General features: G+C 42.5%; 1 protein-coding gene across 38 annotated transcripts in view, besides 2 other annotated features; it reads right to left on the bottom strand.

Annotated features, from left to right (window-relative positions):
• ATP6V0A1 (ATPase H+ transporting V0 subunit a1) overlaps nucleotides 1-19,878 on the bottom strand; it is a 63,702-nt gene extending 43,824 nt beyond the window's left edge. For 16 of the 38 annotated variants that reach the window (XR_007065305.1, XR_007065307.1, NM_001378530.1 and 13 more), the window contains exons 1-7: nucleotides 19,793-19,878; nucleotides 17,745-17,908; nucleotides 12,249-12,327; nucleotides 10,649-10,746; nucleotides 8,538-8,666; nucleotides 1,014-1,096; nucleotides 167-293 (exon numbers count right to left, since the gene is read on the bottom strand). Coding sequence is in view for 33 of the 38 variants with exons in the window: in NM_001378530.1 (NP_001365459.1) it covers nucleotides 167-293; nucleotides 1,014-1,096; nucleotides 8,538-8,666; nucleotides 10,649-10,746; nucleotides 12,249-12,327; nucleotides 17,745-17,861 (633 nt within the window). In the remaining 5 variants the exon portion in view is untranslated. Of the gene's footprint in view, nucleotides 1-166; nucleotides 294-1,013; nucleotides 1,118-8,537; nucleotides 8,667-10,648; nucleotides 10,747-12,248; nucleotides 12,328-17,744; nucleotides 17,909-19,792 lie in introns of all 38 variants that reach the window. The other 22 variants (XR_007065303.1, XR_007065304.1, XR_007065306.1 and 19 more) reach the window with 6 other exon arrangements.
• Nucleotides 19,809-20,018: a silencer, noted in NCBI's record as "silent region_8529". NCBI's record gives its function as "represses an Ori minimal core promoter by ATAC-STARR-seq in GM12878 lymphoblastoid cells {active_cell/tissue: GM12878}" and the evidence as "EXISTENCE:reporter gene assay evidence [ECO:0000049][PMID:35858748]".
• Nucleotides 20,169-20,258: an enhancer, noted in NCBI's record as "active region_12201". NCBI's record gives its function as "activates an Ori minimal core promoter by ATAC-STARR-seq in GM12878 lymphoblastoid cells {active_cell/tissue: GM12878}" and the evidence as "EXISTENCE:reporter gene assay evidence [ECO:0000049][PMID:35858748]".

Below are 23,402 nucleotides of genomic sequence, written 5' to 3'. Positions count from 1 at the left end.
GACAGGAATTAACTAAGAGGAAGTACTTCAAATTCTCCAATTAGAGCAGAGATAAAGATAATGGCTCCTCTGTGGAAGCACTGGATTCAGGTGGCCCCATGCTACGTTACTGCTCTGGGCTCCCTTTACAAGACCTACTCCACAGGATGCAATCTCCTTGTCTTACAGTCACAGGATCCTCCAGGGGGTTCTCGATTTCAGCCTGTCGCAGGAACACATTTCCCCGGCATACCCGCCAAAGCATGCGCTCAAAAGTAGGGATGCGCTCCCGGTTAATGACACCAGCCACGAAGCTGTGGGGAGAAGAGGCAGATTGGAAACTCTATTCCATGTCATGGGATGGAAGGTTTTAATACAAGTCTTTTTTATTTATATTTATATATATATCTTTTTTTATTATACTTTAAGTTCTAGGGTACATGTGCACAACGTGCAGGTTCATTACATATGTATACATGTGCCATGTTGGTGTGCTGCACCCATTAACTCGTCATTTACATTAGGTATATCTCCTAATGCTCTCCCTCCCCCCTCCCCCCACCCCACAACAGGCCCCGGTGTGTGATGTTCCCCTTCCTGTGTCCAAGTGTTCTCATTGTTCAATTTCCACCTATGAGTGAGAACATGTGGTGTTTGGTTTTTTGTCCTTGTGATAGTTTGCTGAGAATGATGGTTTCCAGCTTCATCCATGTCCCTACAAAGGACAGGAACTCATCATTTTTTATGGCTACATAGTATTCCATTGTGTATATGTGCCACACTTTCTTAATCCAGTCTATCATTGATGGACATTTGGGTTGGTTTAATACAAGTCTTATTCCCAGCTTCACTTATGGACCCAGCAGAGAGCTGACAGAGCAACTCAGGCATGAATCCAGAGTTGTAGGACTATCTCAATAGGCTCAGAAGAGGGCATATCCTGGTAGCAAGTGAATCCCCAGTCTCACTGCTCTTCTGAACAGAAGAGATGAACATGGCCCCACTGAATACCGAAAAGTTGACATGGCACTTACCCAAGTCTTAAAGGAGTGCCTCTTCCCATCTCACTTGGCTCCAAGAGGGATGAGGACTCTTCCAACAAGTCTGGATCCGCCATCTGCTGATGATGCAATTCAGCCTGAATTCACAAATCAATTAATATCTAATGAAAATAGTTAGTGGCATGCAGGCAACGAGGAACCAGGAGACAGGTTCAGAAAATAAGGATGAAAAAGAAAACAAACCACGAAAAGACAAGATATATCCATAAAAAGACAAGAAGAATAGGGGATGAAAACACAGAAAATAAATTTGAGGTAAAGAAAGCATAATTGCCCCAGTAAAGCATCTGGGGAAATGGTTTTAGAAATAAGGAGCAAAAGGAAAAAAAATTAAGTGATGGTGACATGTATAAATCTGTTACTTGGTGGAAGCCATTTTCTCTCCTACGTTTCCCTGAATGAATGATGAAAGTGCCAGGAAATACCTCTGCATGTAGATAGGAAGCTAAAATATCTCTTCTTTCTGTGCAATAATGAAGAGACTCTGCAGATACTCTGAACATTTAATTTCTAGGCAGCTACAAACTAGAATTTTCCCTACGTGAGAATGTGAAAGATAGAGGCTCTCTTTCCAAGGAAGAAGCAAGGCACTGCCACTGTCTTTGAATGCTGTGAAGTCTGGAGAAAGACAGAAGGGGAAGCTCCAGGTATCTACGTTTCCAGCCCCTTTAAAATTCAGAATATGAGAACTTTCAGCATGGCCACTTATAGAATGATCCAAGCCATGGGATTTAAAGAGTATTTATGTCTTCAAAAGGATAAGAAGCACAATAGCTGGGCAGGCCTGTAAAAACATATCTGAATGTCCCATTTTCTGACTAGGAATCTTCTAAATAAGTTCACATAGGCTTTACAGTTGTAGGATTCTTGAGAACACAGCTCAAGAATCAAGTAAAGTGAAGGAAAAACAACAGATAATAAACCAAACTAGAGTTCATGGGCTGGTTTAATTGGTAAGATTTAAAATGACTTCCACCATGACAGTTTATACAATGAAATGAAGAAGGATCTTCCCACACGCAGGTCTACATTTCCTAGCCTCTCTCTACCGAACTCATCCTACCACCCTTTACTCCCATCAGAAAGGAGAAGCTGCTCCAAAAAACAAAACAAAACAAAACAAAACAAAAACCAGTCCAATCAACTTCTCCATTGCCTCATCTCCCCAACTCTAATACCCAGGCAATACTTGTTTGACCAAAAACTAGGAGTAAACCAGAACAATCATCCTCTTCAAAAGCACAATAAGACAAAAAATCAGAAGAGTTTTTCTCTATCATTTTCATTCCAAATTTCAATTTGATTCTACCCCTGTCAGCCACACTCTTAAAAAGTGGCACAGGGACCATAACTTGATAAAGTCATGGGATCATAAACATAGCAAAAAGGGGGAAAAACTGTGTATAAACCAGATGATAAGTCTGAAGGCCTAAAAAATAGAAAGCAATCATTTTGGGAAGTAAGGATCAACACCAGAAGTGCAGAGAAATACTGTCATGAGATTGGAAAAGTTTAAGATGAGATCATGGAGACACTAGTTACCACTGGCTGTTACATGTAAGTTGAGGGGGTTCTTTCGGTTTCTACTTGCAATCAAATCAGCTGACTACAAGCAACTTGTTTTCAGGATCCCGATGATTACAACATTTCAACTTGTTCTTGGTTTATCCCTTGGCAAAAACCAGTGAGCCTGACTACTCACAAGACTCCATCCTACTTGCCTGCCTGTCTCACAAGACGTGGTTTAAGTCAACCCTAAATATCGGACTCAATGCAAACACATGTGCTCTAACTGATGGAAAAGCAAACAGTACTTAGCAACTAGACCACTTCAAAGACTCTATCTAGGACTCTCTGAGAATAAAAAACAACAAAATTAAAATTCAACAGAAACTTGCGATAATATTTGAATTGCTAATTTCACCACTTCATACTTAAGAATTCTATCTTAGAGAGAAAAGTTACAAATTTTTAAGTAAAATTGTGCCTGGTGAGAAACTAGGATGACTAGAACCACTCACTAACTGAAGGCCTTTAAAGCAGTATCTAAAACCATGTGGTTGAAAGTATCTAAATCTTAGAGCAGGGGTGTCTGATCTTTTGGCTTCCCTGGGCCACATTGGAAGAAGAACTGTCTTGGGCCACACATAAAATACACTATAATGATAACTAATGAGCTAAAAAAAAAAATTCCAAAAAAATCTCATAATGTTTTGAGAAAGTTTACGAATTTGTGTTGGGCCACATTCAAAGCTGTCCTGAGGCCTGAAGGCCATGGGCTGGACAAGCTTGTCTTAAGGGTATCTGGGTTCTCTAATAACAACATTGTGAATATGCCTCTACATTACTGCTATGCCCTCTGGTTTCTCCATTCAGATACTGAAAACCACGCCTTACAAAAAGGAAGTAGAAGAACTTCAGTTCTGTTTCTACAGCAATTAAGTATAAATAGCACATCCAGTTCAAGCTATGTCAATTACCAAGAACAAACAATTACTGCCATCTACATCGAGAAAAAAATTATATTTCATTACTTAAGGTATTCACCTAGGCCCCAAAGGAAATGGCAGATGGGAAAAAAATAAAGAAAGCAGATGGATGGAAAACTGAGAAGGAAAGGAAAGCAGGGAATCTGCATGCCATTAACCATTACTTTTCCAGTCTTCTTTATGTTCTCATATGTTATGGTGCTTATGGTAAAAGATGCAGAGAAATCTCTCCAGCTCTTACAGTTCTTCATAAGCAAGAAGACTTAGAAAAGGATAATCATTAACAAGTCATTTTAAATGCCCTAGATAAGAAATGACTAAGTCAAATTTGTAATCATCTTTAATCATAAGACTATTCAATATGTTTATTTTTCACCTTACACACACCCTGCCAATCATAACTCCTATGCCTAAATATAGAATCATTTTCTGATTTAGCCATTTCTGCTAACTCATTACTGTGAATTATTGATTATAGTCACCAAATTACACAAAATAAGGGGTTTAAAACTGGTAGTGTTTTAGGCCCTTTGCAAATATTATAATTTCAGACACAGAAGAAAATCTCATTAAAAATCCTAAGTTTCCAACATTTGAGGGTCCCAAGTGTCCTATCTTTCGCATTATTTGAAGTGCACGCGCATGTGCAGATGCAAAGTTGTGGCAGTGACACCTGAGCCTGCTGCTACGCAGCAGCAGGGCAAGGTCTATGGAAAGGAACCTGGCTGAGGCTGTGAGCTAGTGCAAGAACAGGCAAGGCAGAGAGGTTCTTGCCAGGAGACTTGCAATGCAGTGAGACTGCTGGGAATGGAAGGGGAATTGATGACAAAAGCAGCATAAGAACCTCTCATAGCCACGGTCTTGTGCTCTAAGTACTTCCAGAGACTGGAAAAAAAAAAAAAGTTTTGAATAAAATAGGAGGGGGAGGCTGGGTGCGGTGGCTCACACCTGTAATTCCAGCACTTTGGGAGGCTGAGGCAGCTAGATCACGAGGTCAGAGTTCGAGACCAGCCTGGCCAATATGGTGAAACGCCCGTCTCTACTAAAACTACAAAAATTAGCTGGGCATGGTGGTACACACCTATAGTCACAGCTGCTCGGGAGGCTGAGGCAGGAGAATCGCTTGAACCCGGGAGGCGGCAGTTGCAGTGAGCCAAGATCGCACCACTGCACTCCAGCCTGGATGACAAAGCGAGACTCTGTCTCAAAAAAAAAAAAAATAGGAGAGGGAAAACAACCCCAGCATGAAAAGGGCACAAAGATCATGAAGACTTAGAGTCTGCCTTCTCAAAACAGGCATTTAGTGTTTAGACTTATTATTCACAAAATAAAAGTCCTAAATCCATAAATTATGATTTTAAAATATCATTTTTCCAAGTGGTTCCTCTTATTTTCATTTTTACTAAGTTCTTTTCATTAGAAAATTAATAGTTTAAATAATTATTTCCCTTAAGGGAATCCATCTATCAGTCTTTATTCGGAATTTCTCCAAAAATGAACCATAATAGGAAGCTGGCTCTCATTCTTAAACTTACGAGGTCTTGAAAGACATTTTCATATGAGATAGCAATATCTCAGCAGTAAACTAAACAGTATATCAAAAGGGAAAAAAATGGGGACAGGGAAGGTAAAAGAATTAAGCTCCAAATAATGCTAAAAGGTAGCTGAGCTCTGACTACAAGGCCAGGTTTACATCAGATCTGTGGGTAGCAGCTTGGATATGTTTAGAAAAGCACACATCTGTGAGCATATGAAAGCGTCATGTTCTGGGGTATTTCTTAAGACTGAATGATACATTCCTTAAACACAGGGACCATGTCTTACTCATCTTGTGTCTCACAATAAGTAGGTGCTCATTATATGCTCAGTGAATTAGTGAACAAAAATACAATAACGTCTGGGCAGTGAGCATGCTGGAATTCCAGGTTCATTAAAAACATACAGCTTAAGTGGCGATGCCTATTGCAAAAGACCTTAAACACTTAGAGTTAATCACACTGTCCCACACCCTCTAACGTGATGTCATTAGGGACTGGCGAAAGAAGTTACCACTAGTCTCAAAATTCTCGACTCTGTGAGCAAACTAAATAAATATTTGTACCTTCTGACTCTTGAAAGGACCAGGCAATTAAATTCATATGAGTTTTTCCCCTTTCCCTTGACCCAGCAGATCCTTTTAATTAAATGGCTTCTGAGTCAAATCCTTAAATTAGTGAGGAATGTATCACATCCTCAGCAGACCTTCTCTAGCCCAGCAGTTTTCAAACTAGCATGCCTCCGGATCACCTAGTAAATACAGACTGCTAGGCCTAACTCCCACAGTGTCTGATTCAGTAAGTCTAGGGTGGAGACTGATAATTCATACTTCTGACAAGATTACAGGTGAGTCTGCTGCTGTTGTTTGAAAAACCCCTGCTCCAGTCTAGAGAATTCTGGATATTTGATCTCCCCTCAAAAGAGAAAAATTTCTGAGATGAGGCAGTTAAAAACAATTTTTTTTTTTGAGATGGAGTCTCGCTCTTTCGCCCAGGCTAGAGTGCAGTGGTGCGATCTCAGCTCACTACAACCTCCGCCTCCCCGGTTCAAGCGATTCTCCTGCCTCAGCCTCATGAATAGCTGGGATTATAGGCGCCCGCCACCATGCCTGGCTAATTTTTGTATTTTTAGTAGAAGACGGGGTTTCACCATGTTGGTCAGGCTGGTCTTGAACTCCTGACCTCGTGATCCCCCTGCCTCGGCCTCCCAAAGTGCTGGGATTATAGGCGTTAGCCACCGCGCCCGGCCTAAAAACAATAAAAAATAAAAATAAAAACTATATATATAAATTTAAAGTACAACTGAGAACACAGCAGATGCTAACTAAAATGGGACTCTACCAGGCACAGTGGCTCACACCTGTAATCCCAGCACTTTGGGAGACAGAGGTGGATGGATCACTTGAGGCTAGAGGTTCGAGACCAGCCTGGCCAACATGGTGAAACGCTGTCTCTACTGAAAATACAAAAATTAGCTGGGGGTGGTGGTGAGCACCTGTAATCCCAGCTACTCGGGAGGCTGAGGCAGGAGAATTGCTTGAGCTTGGGAGGTGGAGGTTGCAGTGAGCTAAGATTACTCCACTGCACTCCAGCCTGGGCAACACAGTGAGACTTTGTCTCGGGAAAAAAAAAAAAAAAAAGGGCCTCTATATTTAAAAGCTTTGCCAAGTTTTCTTGTTGAGCAAAGGAATGAAAGAACTTTATGGGAAGGCACATTGAACAGTGACTGTAACAATCCCTAAAGTGTCTAATATTGTCAATCTGGTGGCAAAGACACCTGTCAAGAAGACAGTTACTGTACTTTAGGCCATCAGAAAAACCACATCCAAGTTGAAAGCTAAGACTCCTCCCCAGACTGAGTTAGGAGAAGGGAGCATTCTGGAAGCCTTGCTCCAGATCCTTTCCATGGAGTCACCTCAGCACATTGTCACCTGGACTAAGTCACCTACATTTTTTTTTTGAGACAGTCTTGCTCTGTCCCCCAGGCTGGAGTAAAGTGGCTTAATCTCCGCTCACTGCAACCTCTGCCTCCTGGGCTCAAGCAATCCCCTCACTTCAGCCTCCCGAGTAGCTGGAACTACAGGTGTGCACCACGATGCCTGTCTAATTTTTGTATTTTTTGTGGAGACGGGGTTTCACCATGTTGCCCAGGCTGATCCTGAACTCCTGGGCTCAAGTGATCTGCCCACTTCACCCTCCCAAAGTACTGGGATTACAGGTGTGAGCCACCATGCCCAACCAAGTCACCTACATTTTTTTTTTTTTTTTTTGAGACAGAGTCTTGCTCTGTCGCCCAGGCTGGAGTGCAGTGGCGCGATCTCGGCTCACTATAAGCTCCGCCTCCCGGGTTCACGCCATTCTCCTGCCTCAGCCTCCTGATTAGCTGGGACTACAGGTGCCCACCACCATGCCCGGCTAATTTTTTGTATTTTTTTAGCAGAGACGGGGTTTCACCGTGTTAGCCAAGATGGTCTTGATCTCCTGACCTCGTGATCCGCCCACCTCGGACTCCCAAAGTGCTGGGATTACAGGCATGAGCCACCGCGCCCAGCCTACATTTTTTTTTTTTGAGATAGAGTCTCACTCTGTCGCCCAGGCTGGAGTGCAGTGGAGCAATCTCAGCTCAATGCAACGTCCACCTCCCAGGTTCAAATGATTTTCCTGCCTCAGCCTCTCGAGTAGCTGGGATTACAGGCAACCACCACCTCACCCGGCTAGTTTTTGTATTTTTAGTAGAGACCGGGTTTCACCATGTTGGCCAGGCTGATCTCGAACTCCTGACCTCAGGTGATCCACCTGCCTCGGCCTCCCAAAGTGCAGGGACTACACGCATGAGCCACCATGCCTGGCCTCACCTACATATTTAACCCAAGAACTTTACTAACATTTTTCCCTCTGAGGTAATGCGTCTAAGTTTATGTGATAATCCAGAAGTTTCAAACAAGCATCCTACCAATATTTTCCATACAATAAATACAATGAAAAACTCTTGAAAAATTAGTGTGATGTGTGCTATCTGAAGTACTGAAAAATGTGCTCGAAGGTTTATAAGCAAACATAGACAATGAAATAAAAATTTGATGACAAAAGGTTTGGTGATTAAACCTTTGTTATAATTTTGTCTATAACCAAATGTTTGCTTCCTCAGCTTTAACCTTAAGCATATACTTACCTTATAAGTATAAATATAATGTAAAAATTTATACTAACTATGTTTATACAACTACTTCAGGGTTCTTTTCCTCATATTGAGATGAAAAATTGAAGAAAATGTGAAAAAATGCAAAACCATGGCTGGTTGTGTACTGCATGAAAAATGGAACATAATCTCACATTTCTGTAACTAAAACAGGGTGCAAAAATGGCATTGCTTCCAAACTAGCAAATTAAAATAATTACTGGAATAAAAATATGGCCCACTTGTGTGAGTATAATATCAGCTGCTCAAATACTAAAAGAAACAATAGTCTGACCTCATCAAAAAATTGCTGAGTTTTGCGAAGTATAAATTTTAATTCGGTCAGTTCCAGGAAGTTTCTCTTCAGAGCTTCCTGGTTTGTGTTGATTTCCTTCAGTTCATTTTCAATCTTCTCAAAATTGGCCTAGATGAAATAAGAAAATATATTAAGCTAAGCTCAATATGTTTGCTCTGAAAGACATTAAATGAATTCATCCCACAGAACTGTTGCCAAGCCGATAGTTCAAAGAGAACTTGGACTTGCCTAGCAAATACTGTGATTTTACTAGAGCAATTTTCTTTATGGAAATTTTTTTGCTTAAAATAATCTCTCCTGGGCCGAGGCGGGTGGATCACTTGAGGTCAGGAGTTCGAGACCAGCCTGACCAAAATGGTGAAACCACGTCTCTACTAAAAATACAAAATTAGCTGGGCGTGCTGGCGCATGACTGTAGTCCCAGCTACTTGGGAGGCTGAAGCAGGAGAATCACTTGAACCCGGGAGGTGGAGGTTGCAGTAAGCCAAGATCACACCACTGTACTTCAGCCTGGGCAACAAGAGCAAAACTCCATCTCATAAATAAATAAATAGTCTTTCCTGGCCGGGCATGGTGACTCACTCCTGTAATCCCAGCACTTAGGGAGTCTGAGGTGGGTGGCTCATCTGAGGTCAGGAGTTCAAGACCAGCCTGGCCAAACATGGCGAAACCCCGTCTCTACTAAAAATACAAAAAAAAATTAGCTGGGTGCAGTGGTGCATGCCTGTAATCCCAGCTACCTGGGAGGCTGAGGCAGGAGAATGGCTTGAACCCGGGAGGCGGAGGTTGCAGTGAGCCAAGATCGCACCACTGCACTCCAGGCTGGGTGAGAGAGCAAGACTCTGTCTGGAAAAAAAAAAAAAAAAAAAAAAAAGTCTTTCCTTTCTAAGTCATTGTAGAAGTCAAAAAAATAGTCTTTCTTTGTTTACACATTCTATTGTATACTTGGTAACTTTCTCAGGCGATTTCAGATGGATAAAATAATTACTGAGAAGTCTACTGGCTGCCCATTTAGTCTGCAAGATTGCAAGATTAACCAACTAGTAGATAGGCCAGGTGTGGTAGCTCACACCTGTAATCCCAGTACTTTGGGAGGCTGAGGCAGGCAGATTGCTTGAGGTTAGGAGTTCGAGATCAAGCTGGCCAACATGGGAAAATCCCATCTCTACAAAAAATACAAAAAAATTAGCCAGGCATGTTGGCACACAGCTATCGTCTCAGCTACTCTGGAGGCTGAGGTACTAGAACTGCTTGAGCCTGGGAGGCAGGGGTTGCAGTGAGCCAAGATGGGGTCACTGTAGTCCAGCCTAGGTGATAGCTATGTCTCAAAAATAAAATAAAATAAAATAAAATAGTAGATAACTTACTCCAATAAGGTTTCGATAAACCAATAAACATTTACTTAGTGGCATATAATACTGTTTGAGTGCTGTTTGTCACCATAAAAGAGGGGATTCATATGGTCTGGCCATAAAAAAAGAATAAAATCATGTCATTTGCAGCAACATGGATAGAACTGGAGGTCATTATGTTAAGCGAAATAAGCAGGGCACAGACAAATAATACAAGTTTTCACTCATATGTGGGAGCTAAAAAAGTTGATCTCATAGAGGTAGGGAGTGGAATGATAGATACCAGAGGCTATGAAGGGTGTGTGGGTTTGTGGGGGGATGAAGAGAGGTTGGTTAATGTGGACAAACATACAGTTAGATAGAAGGCATAAGTTCTAATGCTCAATAGCAGAGTAGGGTGCCTATAGTTAACAGCAATGTACTGTATATATTTCAAAATAGCTAGAAGAGAAGAATTGAAATGTTCCCAACACATAGAAATGGTAAATACTCAAGGTGATGGATACTCCAAATACCCTGACTTGGTATATACACATTCTATGTATATACCAAAATATCACATGTACACCATAAATGTGTACAAATATTATCTATCAAAATCCCACCTACAAGAAACTTACAATCAGTAGATAATGCTGACAAAGTTAGCAAGAATTACTTTACTCTCTATCTGCTCAGGAAAGTAATTTCTGCGTTCAAGTAGAAAGAAACTTTTCTGGTTTTCCCAGAAGTGTTTACCTCTAAGTCAATCATGTCCCGGGGGAAGGGAACCTCTGGGTTTTCACCGGTGTCCATAATCGGAATGTTAGCTTTTCTTATCTCTTTCTCAACAAATCCTAAAATGACAGAATCAAAACATTCATGTCTAACTGCACATGCTCGTAATTGCCATTATTTAAGGAAAAGAATTAACATCTAAGACCTGGTTACAAAAAGTTTTATTCAAAAAAGATACTTTATATATATATATAAAAGATATAATATCTTTTAATATGAAAGAAGCACCTTTTTTCTCCCCATCCCTCTTTCTCCTTCCTCACATTCTCTAAAGTTACTCCAAAGGGTGGTCATCCCACAACTGCCTTCTTTCCTTCTTCAGGTCTTAACACTGGCCTTCAAGGCCACACCTCTCCTCCATACGCGAATGCCACTCCAAAGTATGACAGTTCTGCTTATAGATATTATTGGCAAAGCAGAGTTATGAAGAAGAGTATAATGCAATAGAATATTTGACACTTAACACACTAGTGAGACAACTCTAGATCTAAAGGGGTTCATTAAATTTGAAAACAATCAGGTCAGTTTTAAGCATAAAAAACAAAAATGAAAAAGCAGAACAGGTAATAAGGACACAAAATACCAGAAGAGAAGAGTGTTTCAGGTAACAACTACAACTGTTTTTTATAGTGGGGACCAAATTCACTTATCAGCTAACCATAAGCTGGCTTAGTAGAGTGGCAAGATCATGGACTTTTGAGCCAGAGAGAGCAACCTGGCTTCAAATACTGATTCCATCATAACTGTTTATGATCTAGGGCAAGTCATTAAGCCTCTCTAATCTTTAGTTTCCTCAATTATTAAATAAGATAATACCCATCTTGAAGGAATGTTGTGGAGAATGAATAAAGTAATGTATATGAGCAACCTAGCCCTCAAGAGAACTTAGATAAATGTTAGTTTCCTCCCTTTTTTTTTTTTTGAGACGGAGTCTCGCTCTGTCGCCCAGGCTGGAGTGCAGTGGTGCGATCTCAGCTCACTGCAAGCTCTGCCTCCCGGGTCCATGCCATTCTCCAGCCTCAGCCTCCCCAGTAGCTGGGATTACAGGCGCCTGCCACCACGCCCAGCTAATTTTTTGTATTTTTAGTAGAGACGGGGTTTTACCATGTTAGCCAGGATGGTCTCGATCTCCTGACCTCGTGATCCACCCGCCTCAGCCTCCCAAAGTGCTGGGATTACAGGTGTGAGCCACCGGGCCCAGCCAGTTTCTTCCCTCTTAAATAGCTCAAATTAAAAGGTGGCTCTGCTGACAAAAACTGATGGTGTGCTGGGTCCTATTTCTCAAAATTCTATCATGTAGTTTTGTTATTAAAATCTCACAAAAAAACAACCAGTTTTCAGTTTGCAGCATGTTATTTCAAACGAGGTTTCCATTAAGCACTACTTAGCCCAAAGACCACAAAATCTACTCGTATACGAGAAATACACCTTGGCATCTTAACTGCAAGATTTTTCCCTTTTCTCTTATAACATTTTCTTCCTCTATTAAGAGGACTAATGTCACTAATCTAAGACAAATGATTCATTAAAGGAACATTACACAAGACCAAAGTGCACATACGAAGCTTTCGATCCATTTCTTCACATCTTCTAACTTCATTCACAAATTTCCGTTGGAAAACATTCACATCTGGATTTAACTGAAAAATAAAAACACAATACCAAACATTGAAATATTGTATCTATTTCTTCTGTTTCTCAAGCAACACATTCTGCAAAGCGAAAAACTAATTTTCTGTCAATGCATGATGCAACACTAATCAAAACTGTCTACTGATCCAAAAAAACTGCTTTATGGCCAGTCACACCAGCTAAGGATAAAAACTTCCTCCCTCGTTGCTGCAACATTACTGGAATGGAGGCAAATTAGGTAAAACACAACGGTACAAAAATGTTCTTCCTAGGCAAAAGTCTCAGTGAGCTTCCTTCCCACCACCTAAAATTTGGGCAATGAATATCACAGAAGCTCTCTCTGGTTTTCCTTCTTTCTTTCCAAGCACAAGAGGAACTTCTCTTGTTTTTCTGTCCCAAGGCCTTCACCTTCTCAGTGACAGGCTTTAGTTTATTCATTCATACACCACAAGTAATTGCTTTTTTTCTTTTTGAGACAGAGTCTTGCTCTGTCACCAGGCTGGAGTGCAGTGGCGTGATCTTGGCTCACTGCAACCTCTGCCTCCCAGGTTCAAGCAATTCTCCCGCCTCAGCCTCTTGAGTAGCTGGGATTACAGGTGCGCACCACCATGCCCAGCTAATTTTCTTGCATTTTTAGTAGAGACAGGGTTTCACCATGTTGGCCAGGATGGTCTCAAACTCCTGACCTCAGGTGATCCACCCACCTCGGCCTCCCAAAGTGCTGGGATTGCAGGCATGAGCCACCACGTCTGGCACCATAAGTAATTTTCAAAGCAATATGACAGATGTTCTGGAATATACAAATAAAAACAAAACAAGTAACTACTCACTAAAAAGCTAGCAATCTGGCCGGTCACGGTGGCTCACGCTTGTAATCCCAGCATTTTGGGAGGCCAAGGTGGGTGGATCACCTGAGGTCAGGAGTTCAAGACCAGCCTGGCCAACATGGCGAAACTCCATCTCTACTAAAAATACAAAATTAGCCGGGCATGGTAGTGTACATCTGTAATCCCAGCTACTCGGGAGGCCAAGGCAGAAGAATCGCTTGAACCCGGGAAGCTGAGGTTGCAGTGAGCCAAAATCATGCCACTGCACTCCAGCCTGGGTGACAAGAGTGAGACTCTTGTCTCAAAAAAATAAATAGGCCGGATGCGGTGGCTCACGCCTATAATCCTAGCACTTTGGGAAGCTGAGGCAGGAGGATTATCTGAGCTCAGGAGTTTGAGACCAGCCTGGACAACATGGCGAAACCCTGTCTCAACTAAAAATACAAAAAATTAGCCGGGCATGATGGTACATGCCTGTAATCCCAGCTACTCAGGAGGCTGAGGCACAAGAATCAATTGAACCTGGGAGGGAGAGGTTGCAGTGAGCCAAGATCGTGCCATTGCACTCCAGCCTGGGCAACAGAGCGAGACTCTGTCTCAAAAAATAATAATAATAAATTAATTAAATTAAATAAAAAGCTTGCAATCTAATAGAGAAGAAGATGAACCCAACCAATAAAATAGTATGTGATAAATTCCATAAAATTAACACAAATAAAGAACTATATTTACTCAACATTTATGAAGCACCAAATAGGTGTCAGATACTGAACTAGGCACTGGGGAAAATACAAAGAATAAGCTATGTCCTAGCTTTGAAAAGCTGAACAACACAATTTATTAGCTTAATCACGTATGTGTGTATATATATTATATGCATACACACATAGAAACATACAAGCACATTGGCCGGGCACGGTGGCTCACGCTTGTAATCCCAGCACTTTGGGAGACCAAGGCGGGCAGTTCATGAGGTCAGGAGTTCGAGACCAGCCCGGCCAACACAGTGAAACCCCGTCTCTACTGAAAATACAAAAAAATTAGCCGGGAGTGGCAGCGGGCACCTGTAATCCCAGCTACTTGGAAGGCTGAGGCAGAAGAATTGCTTGAACCCGGGAGGCGGAGGTTGCAATGAGCCGAGATCGTGCCACTGCACTCCAGCCTGGGTGACAGAACTAGACTCAGTCTCAAAAAAAAGAAAAAAAAAAATACAAACACACACATACATATCCATGTATTCAACACTTCTCTCTTCGAGAACTCAATATATTAATATTAGAGGAATCTAAGGCAAAAATTTTTATTAGCAATTAAGATTAATAATAAGCTACGTCCCAGTCTTCAGCTCTACAGAAGAGACGGACACAAACCAATTATTACAATTTGTTGTGATAAATGCTATTAAAAAGGAAGTAAAAGATGTGGAAAACTGTTGGCAGTTTCTTACAAAGTTAAACATACACCTACCCAACCCATGACTGAGCATTCCACTACTCAGTTACTGTTGACCTTTGAACAATGTGGGTTTGAACTCTGCTGGTCCACTAACACACAGATTTTCCTCCACCTCGGCCAGCCTGAGACAGTAAGACCAACCCCTCCCCTTCCTCCTCCTCAGCCTCCTCAACATAAAGACAATAAGGATGAAGACCTTCAAGATGATCCACTTTCAGTAAATACAGTTTATCTTCCTTATGATTTTCTTAACAGTATTTTCTTTTCTCTAGCTTACTTTATTGTAAGAATACAGTGTACAATACATATAACATACAAAATATGTATTAATCGACTGTTTATGAAATTGGTAGGGCTTCTGGTCAAAAGCAGGCTATCAATAGTTAAGTTTTGGAGGAGTCAAAATTGTATGCAGATTTTTGACTGCATGGGGAGATTGGCACCCCTAACCCCTGCATTTTCAAGGATCAACTGTATTTGCTTAAGAAAAATCAAAACTTGTAAACTAAAAAAAAGACTTTTATGATAATGTTTACTTCAGCTTTAATCATAATAGCCCCAAAAGAGTAATGACAAAAGAAAGGATGAAAACACTGTGGTGTAATCATACAATGAACTACTTACCGTTCGGCAATTTTTAAAAATGAACTACGGATACATGCAAGAAACAGAGGCTGAGTGAAAGAAGTCAGACATGAGTTTGCAATGTATGAGTCGTTTACATATAATTCAAGAACAGGGAAAACTAATCCTATGATGACAGCAATCAAAACAGAGGTTACCTATGAAGGGTAGCAACTGACTAGCAGTAGACACAGATACTTTTCTGGACTGATGAAAATGTTCAGTCTGGGCCTGGTGGCTCACGTCTGTAATCCTAGCACTTTGGGAGGCTGAGGGGGGATGGATCACCTGAGGTCAGGAGTTCGAGACCAGCCTGGGCAACATGGTGAAACTCCATCTCTACTAAAATAGAAAAAAAAAATTAGCCGGGCTCGGCGGTGTGCGCCTGTAGTCCCAGCTACTCAGGAGGCTGAGGGAGGATTGCTTGAACCCAGGAGACGGAGGTTGCAGTGAGCCAAGATCGCACCACTACACTCCAGCCTGGGCGACAGAGCAAGATTCTGTCTCCAAAAAAAAAAAAAAAAAAAAAAAAGTTCCATATCCTGATTGGGGTGCTGGTTACAGAGGTGTATAAAGTTATCAATTCAGCAAATTGTACTCTTAAGATGTGTACATTTCAGCCAGGCACAGTGGCTCACACCGGTAATCCTAGCACTTTGGGAGGCTGAGGCAGGAGAACCGCTTGAGTCCAGGAGTTCAAGACCAACCTGGGTAACATGGCGAGACCCCCATCTCTATTTTTTTTCTTAATGTTATAAATTTTATTATTAAAAAAAAATTAACAGAACTAGAAGAAACTGAAATATCTGTTGGCCAGGTATGGTGGCTCATGCCTGTAATCCCAGCACTTTGGGAGGCCGAGGCGGGTGGATCACCAGAGGTCAGAAGTTCGAGACCAGCCTGGCCAATGTGGTGAAACCCCGTCTCTACTAAAAATACAAAAATTAGCTGGGCATGGTGGTGCATGCCTTTAGTCCCAGCTACTCAGGAGGCTGAGGCAGGAGAATTGCTTGAACCTGGGAGGCGGAGGCTGCAATGAGCTGAGATCACACCACTGCACTCCAGCCTGGGCGACAGAGTGGACTCTGTCTCAAAAAGAAAAGCAACAACAACAACAACAAAAACCACACATAGGAGAAATAAAAGCAAAACAAATCACTGTACGGGTTACCTCTGGGGTGGAAGAAAGGACTGGCATGGAGCAAAGAGAAACAGAGGTTTCAATTATACACGGAATGTTTCCCTCTTAAGCAGATAGTAGAAACATAGGTGGTCATTATAATACTCCCCCCACCTCTTTTTTTTTTTTTGGTTTTGAGACAGTGTCATGCTCTGTCACCCAGGCTGGAGTGCAGTGGCATAATCACAGCTCACTACAGCCTCGACCTCCTGGGCTTCAGCGATCCTCCCACCTTAGCTTCCCAAGCAGCTGGGACCACAGCCATGTGCCACCACATCCGGCATTTTTTTTTTTTTTTTTTTTTTTGGCAGAGACGGGATCTCCCTATGTTGCCCAGACTGGTCTCCAACTCCTGGGCTCAAGCGATCCTCCTGCCTTGGCCTCTCAAAGTACTGGCATTTCAGGTGTGAGCCATTGCACCTGGCCCCTATCTCTTTTTTTTGTATGACTGAAGTACAGCATAAGTAAAAGAAAAGAAGGCTGAATAGAGCCAATAGATGTTAAGCAGAGGGACAACATAGGACCAGATGAAGAACTGCAAATTAAGGATGACAAGTTTTTTGTTGTTGTTGTTGTTGTTTGAGACGGAGTCTTGCTCTGTCGCCCAGGCTGCGTGCAATCACACAATCTCGGCTCACTGCAACCTCCGCCTCCCAGGTTCAGGCGATTCTCCTGCCTCGGCCTCCCGAGTGGCTGGGATTACAGGCCTGCGCCACCATGCTAATTTTTTTTGTATTTTTAGTAGAGTCGGGGTTTCACCATGTTGGCCAGACTGATCTCAAACTCCTGACCTCCCGATCCGCCCGCCTCAGCCTCCCAAAGTGTTAGGATTATAGGCGTGAGCCACTGTACCCAGGCTAGATTGTCCATATTCTTTAGATAGCTTCTCCAAGTGCCCAGTATAATATTCCAAAATAATGAATATTCAGTATATGCTTATTTATATACTATATATCTGTAGCTGGATACCTCAAATTTTATTTTTTTTAAAATGTCCTACTATATGGAAAAACTGCAATATATTTTTTTAAATACCTTGCTATTTAGCAAGTGAAAGCCTTGATCAGGTTAGTTTGGTAACCTCTCCCTGCATCCCAAACAATTACCTGGAGAATGCTTAGGACTGTTCTGAAAGTGGGAGCTAGCAAAAGCATGTAAAGATTGGCACAAAACATTCTCACCTTTAGAAAGACAACTCAAAATGTGCATTCTGCCAATAGGAAGTCAGTGCTATAATGTTATTTTTGCAAATAAAAAACAAAACATTCATCATAAGGCATCTGACCACGATAGCAATAGAGTTCAGCAGTAATCAAGTCGCAGCCCCACAACTACTTACGTCACGAAACTGAACCTTTCCAAGTTCTCCTAATTCACTGACACAACAATAAGCAGCCTCTGACTGTAGAAAAAGCTGGGCCAGTGTCATTTCTTCACTCCGGAAAAGCTCCCCCATGGTGGCAGAAGGTACCAGTCTAGTGAGTACCTGGATTTCTCTCCAACCTGAAGCAAAGAGAAAATGACATAACTTTGGAAATTACCACGAGGGCTAAGAGCAAATGACACCCCACTACGGCTCTTGCATTTACATTTCTAACACCCCATGAGGACAGGTCAACAACTGTTTTTGACACCCTGTCTAGAAAGATGGAAAGGAGAAATTGCAAAGGCAGTTCCTGAATTCTGTCCCACAGAGTGTCAGATGAAAAGTCACTTCCATTCCAGTCAACATCAGGATCAAATGACAATTATTTTGGGCAACTCAACTGATAAGAATGTATCCAGATTAAAGACAGGAACTGGGAACCTCAAACAACTCTTTAAATACCCAGGACACAATATTGAGGCAGTGAGTTTCACACTGCTCAATCTGTTTTTGCTAGTGCAGGAAACAAACAGAAGAGGCCTTCAATACCCTCTCATAAAGATGTCTGCCTTGTAACTATCCTTCTCCCTTCTACTGACAATGCGCATTTCTAAAAGCCCAAAGTTCTGGCACTATCCTAAAGCTATGGCTACACTAAAGGGTTTAATCTTCCAGATTCCTCAGAAAACAATATTTCCCCACTTAGGAATTCAAACAAATAACCGTCATCTGGAAAAAGCAACCAGTTTGCATATTAAGCTCAATTTCAAATCAAGCATGACAGGAACACACTGATAATGACAAAGCAGTTTTATCAAGCCACAGAGAATAAGCCTTCCACCTCTGCAGCTTTCTGTTTCTCAACCCTACCTTCAAGATTAATTACATTCTTCCATCTGTCAAATCTCATGAGCCAATAAAGGTTTCGTTTTAGTGCTGTCTTACTGTTGCCGGGTATGAGACAACTGGCGCTATCAGTGGTCCTGAAACTGCAATTATTTATTCTCGATCAGCTAATGTAAGGCACAGCCTGTCCAGTATCCAAACTCAGAAAAATGCACAGTATTTTTAGTGTCATAAGGGCATCTATACTGAGTACTGATAGATGAGTCTGACATCAAAGGAAGATTTACTCTTCTGGAAGGCTGGGAGACATTTTGAGAAATCTGAACGAACAAACCTTTGTGCATGTGATGTTCAAGACAGTAACACAAGCTCAGACATAAGCAAGGACTTCTCAAGAGAATATGCAGGCTGACTTTAAGATTCTGTACATCTGAATCATCCAAATCAGCTGTTACCGGCACCACCCTTAAACAAAGAGAGATTCTACAACCTCTAAACACATAAAATTAGGCCTGGTCAGCATAGTTCAGGAGCTGTGGATAATGATAAGCCTCCAACGAGTCGCCTCCGTCCTCCTGCTCTTTAATGATTATAGGTCTCCCAAGAATATCTCTATAGCAATGGAGGCTAACAGAAAACTAATTAGGCCAAAGTAGTTCTGGACGATCACAAAACAAAATATGAAGAAACAGCAATTCTGCAAAAGATGAGTCCAACTACAGCGCCCCCGCGCCCTGCCTAGAAGAATCTCACTCCTGTCATCCGGTCCTCGCCTCCTCCCACGGTATTCACCTGCTTCATTTCCTGTCTACCCAATGAGCAGGAATTCTCTGGACTCAGGCTCATCTACCTTGAGATGGGAAAAAAGGAGAGGAAAACCCCCAAACTGAGAAACCCTTTAAGAAGCCCCCTAAATTCTTCTGCCTATCCAATAACCTCCGGTTCCTCCGCCTACCCCTTAAAGCAGGGAAGAGATGCGGGGCTTCCAAAGGGCAGTGAGCCTCCGGTTCCTCAGGGCAGAGGAGGGGTGCCCAAGGAGGGGGCGAACCCCCATTTTATCTCGAAGACGTCAGATCCCCGCTAATTCCTCTGACAATCAAGGGGGCTCTTAGAAGGATTTCCTACGTCCATCGAGGGCCGCTCCCTGTTGCGCTAAACCTACAGCCCCCACTCACCTCCAAACTCCGCCACAGCAACCGCCACAGAAACCACCGCAGCCAAACCCGCACCCTCCGCGGCTCCAGGAGCAGCGCTTCGACGTGCTTGCGTCCGTAAAGCCCCGCCCCTGCGCCGCCGCCGGCCCCCGCCCCCGCAATGACCTCATTGCAGTTGGCCAATGGGGCGCAGCCTCGCCCGGGCTGCAGCAGTGCGGAGTCACGGGGGTCGCAGGCGAGACCCAGCGTGCTGACGCCATGTTGGCCCCTGTGCTGTATCTCCACGCTGGGGAGGGTTAGCGGGTGGGGCTGGAGGTGCAGGTGCTCGAGGCCTTAAGTTCCTGAGCCTCCCTGAATCCTTTTTCTTACCCCTTATACTGGGGTAGGTTGTCTTTTCTCTTTCTTTTTTTTTTTTTGAAGTCTCATTCTGTTGCTCAAGCAGGAGTGCAGTGGCGTGATCTCGGCCCACTGCAACCTCCACCTCCCGGGTTCAAGCGATTCTCCTGCCTCAGCCTCCCAAGTAGCTGGGACTACAGGCACGCACCACCATGCCCGGCTAATTTTTGTATTTTTTTTTTTTTTAAGTAGAGACGGGGTTTCACTATGTTGGCCAGGCTGAGTCTCGAATTCTGACCTCGTGATCCACCCGCCTCGGCCTCCCAAAGTGTTGGGATTACAAGCGTGAGCCACCACGCCCGGCCTTTTTTTTTTTTTTTTTTTTTTTTTTTTAGATGGTCTGTTTCCCAGGCGGGAATGCAGTGGCGCGTTCTCGGCTCACTGCAGCCTCCGCCTCCCGGGTTCAGGGGATTCTCCTGCCTCAGCCTCCCTAGTAGCTGAGATTACAGGCACGCACCACGCCACCCGGCTATTTTTGTATTTTTTGTAGAGATGGGGTTTCGCCATGTTGCCCAGACTGGTCCTGGCCTCCACCCGCCTCGGCCTCCCAAAGTGCTGGGATTACAGGTGTGAGCCACCGCGCCCGGCCCTCTCTTTATTTTCATATCCAAAGAATTAATTCACACATACGCACCCAAATAATTAATGTCTTCTCTCTTTATTTTCATATCCAAAGAATTCACACACACACTCAAATAATTAATACGCAGACACATATACCACCCTTTCTCTTTTCCCTTATTTTACAGATGAGAACATTTGAGCCCCAGACTGGGGAGCGGCTAGCTTTAGATCCTGTAGTAGAGTCTTTAACGGGGTCTCATTTGCATAAGTATGGAAAACCTCTCTTTAAATGGTACATGGTTCATGCCTTCCAGCAACTTCCCCGGGTCTATTTTTCTCTGTTTAACAGGAAAAACCTCATCAGACCATATGTTGTGAAAGTACATTTCAGTCTTGTTTGGTAGATTCATGTGGGCTCAATTGACCACTTAGGAGTTTTCAATTCCTCAAATTTATTTTAAAAACATTTTTTATGGCTTGTACTCAACTTGTAAATTAAATATTGAAAAACATTTTTTAAACGCAAAAGTGATGTCTATTATTTTTTAAATGCCATTATCAAATATTGATATTGATTCCCTTTTCTTGCCCTTTTAAAGAAGAGTAGGGATCTCAAGTCGTTTGTGATAACCAGAATTGTATCAGGAAAAACTCAGAAAACCGGTTATTCTGTCTTCCTGGGTGGTGGAACCCTGTTGAAATTCAAGTGTAATGAGGGAGATATTCCAGATAAAAACTTGTTGCTGATAATTTTGTCAACCTGACAAAAACATCATCAAACCTGCTTTACCAGCCTAAACAAAATAAGGGGACAAAAATGGACGTTTTATTTGAATTTATTGTCTCATATTGTGAGTGAAGATATAACCTGACTTCAATACAACCTTCTTAAGACACAGAGTCTTGGAGAGACCCATACCCTCCTTCTCCCTGCTCCCTAGCTCTCAACCCTTCTGGCAAGACAGATCGGGACCCACATTTAAAAGCCTGCCAAGTTAGAGAAAACTGTTACACAATATCATTTCCTTCCTCTGAGACTTAAAAAAAAATTAACCTCAGTCAGCTGCTTGCTAACCACAAATTTTTCATACTCCACTTTTAAGACAGCCTTTCCTGTGGACTTACTTCAATTCCCTTGAACTCTTTTCACGGCTTCTTTGAAAGAATATTGTTTCAGAACTCCTTTTCTGTTTGCTTCCATCTCCTGCCATCAATCTTTCCTCAGTGTTCTATTTATTTTCCCTCCATGCTGTCTTCCTTGATGGTCTTGAGTGTTGTCAAGCTTAAACGTTTATGTGTAGGACTCTTATCTGTTTTTCCACCTGACTTCCTTCTTCAAGACTCAGAAATGGAATTTCATACTGCCTGCTTGATAGTGCCTTTTAGGCAGCAGATGCTTGCTGAGGGCCTACTGTGTGCCAGAGAGGGGTACTAGGTGCTGGGGATAGAAAATGAAACAGACATGCTTCTTATCCTTGGAGAGCTCATGGTTCAGTGAGAAAGAAACTTCCCAAATGGCAAGAGAGAGAGGAGTGCAGTGATTAATACTTACTATGTGCCAGGCACTTTTCTACATGCTTGGTAAATACAAACTCATTTAATCCTCACAACAACATTAGGAGGCAGTTACTATTATTATCCCCATATAACAGATGATATGGTAAAACTGAGGCATATGTCCAATAAGATCAAATTTAAAATGCTGTTGACCACACCTACAGCCCTAGAAGACATGAGCAATTCCATATGAGGCTTGGCCAGTGACACAGTTCCGAGTATCTAAACCGAGCTATTCCCTAGCATTTGTGAAAATGGCTAAAAAACAATTAAAGCCAGGTGTGGTGGCTCACGCCTGTAATCCCAGCACTTTGGAAGGCTGAGGCGGGTGGATTACCTGAGGTCGGGAGTTTGAGACCAGCCTGGCCAACATGGTGAAAACTCATCTCTACTAAAAATACAAAAAATTAGCTGGGGATGGTGGTGCATGCCTATAATCCCAGCTACTCAGGAGGCTAAGGCAGGAGAACCACTTGAACCCAGGAGGCGGTGGTTGCAGTGGCCAAGATCGCGCCATTGCCCTCCAACCTGGGCAATAAGAGCAAAACTGAGTCTGAAAAAAAAAAAAACAGTTATAAAGATTAGTTCTTCACTACCACAAAAAGAATAGAACAGAGGTAGGGATCTAACTGATAGAGTCTCAAAATGTTACAAGAATTGTCACTGTAGTGAAATTATTAAATGTGGTTTTTTATCTTTAATTTTTAGTTTGAATGAATGCGTGTCAATTGTCCAAATTTCCACCAGTGAAGAATCAGCTAGCTCATCTTAGCTTATCCCACTTAGATTCCTAGATGGGGCCTAGAGGAGAGTTTTAACGTTAAGCCCGGTGTTTTGAAATACGTATCTGCTCCAGTGTCTTCTCCACAGGCTTCCAGTATTCGTTTCCCTAAGGCTGCCATACAAATAACCACAACCTGGGTAGCATTTAAAACAACAGAAATCAGGTCAGCCGAGGTGGCTCACGCCTGTAATCCTAGCACTTTGGGAGACCGAGGCCAGCCTGTCACCTGAGGTCAGGAGTTCGAGACTAGCCTGGCCAACATGGGGAAACCCCATCTCTACTAAAAATACAAAAATTAGCAAGACATGGTGGTGGGCGCCTGTAGTCTCA

Source organism: Homo sapiens, chromosome 17 (genome assembly GCF_000001405.40).
Source record: "Homo sapiens chromosome 17, GRCh38.p14 Primary Assembly".
Taxonomy (NCBI): domain Eukaryota; kingdom Metazoa; phylum Chordata; class Mammalia; order Primates; family Hominidae; genus Homo; species Homo sapiens.
The sequence above is the reverse complement of the archived record's forward strand: the minus strand, read 5'-3'. Positions and strand labels throughout refer to the sequence as shown.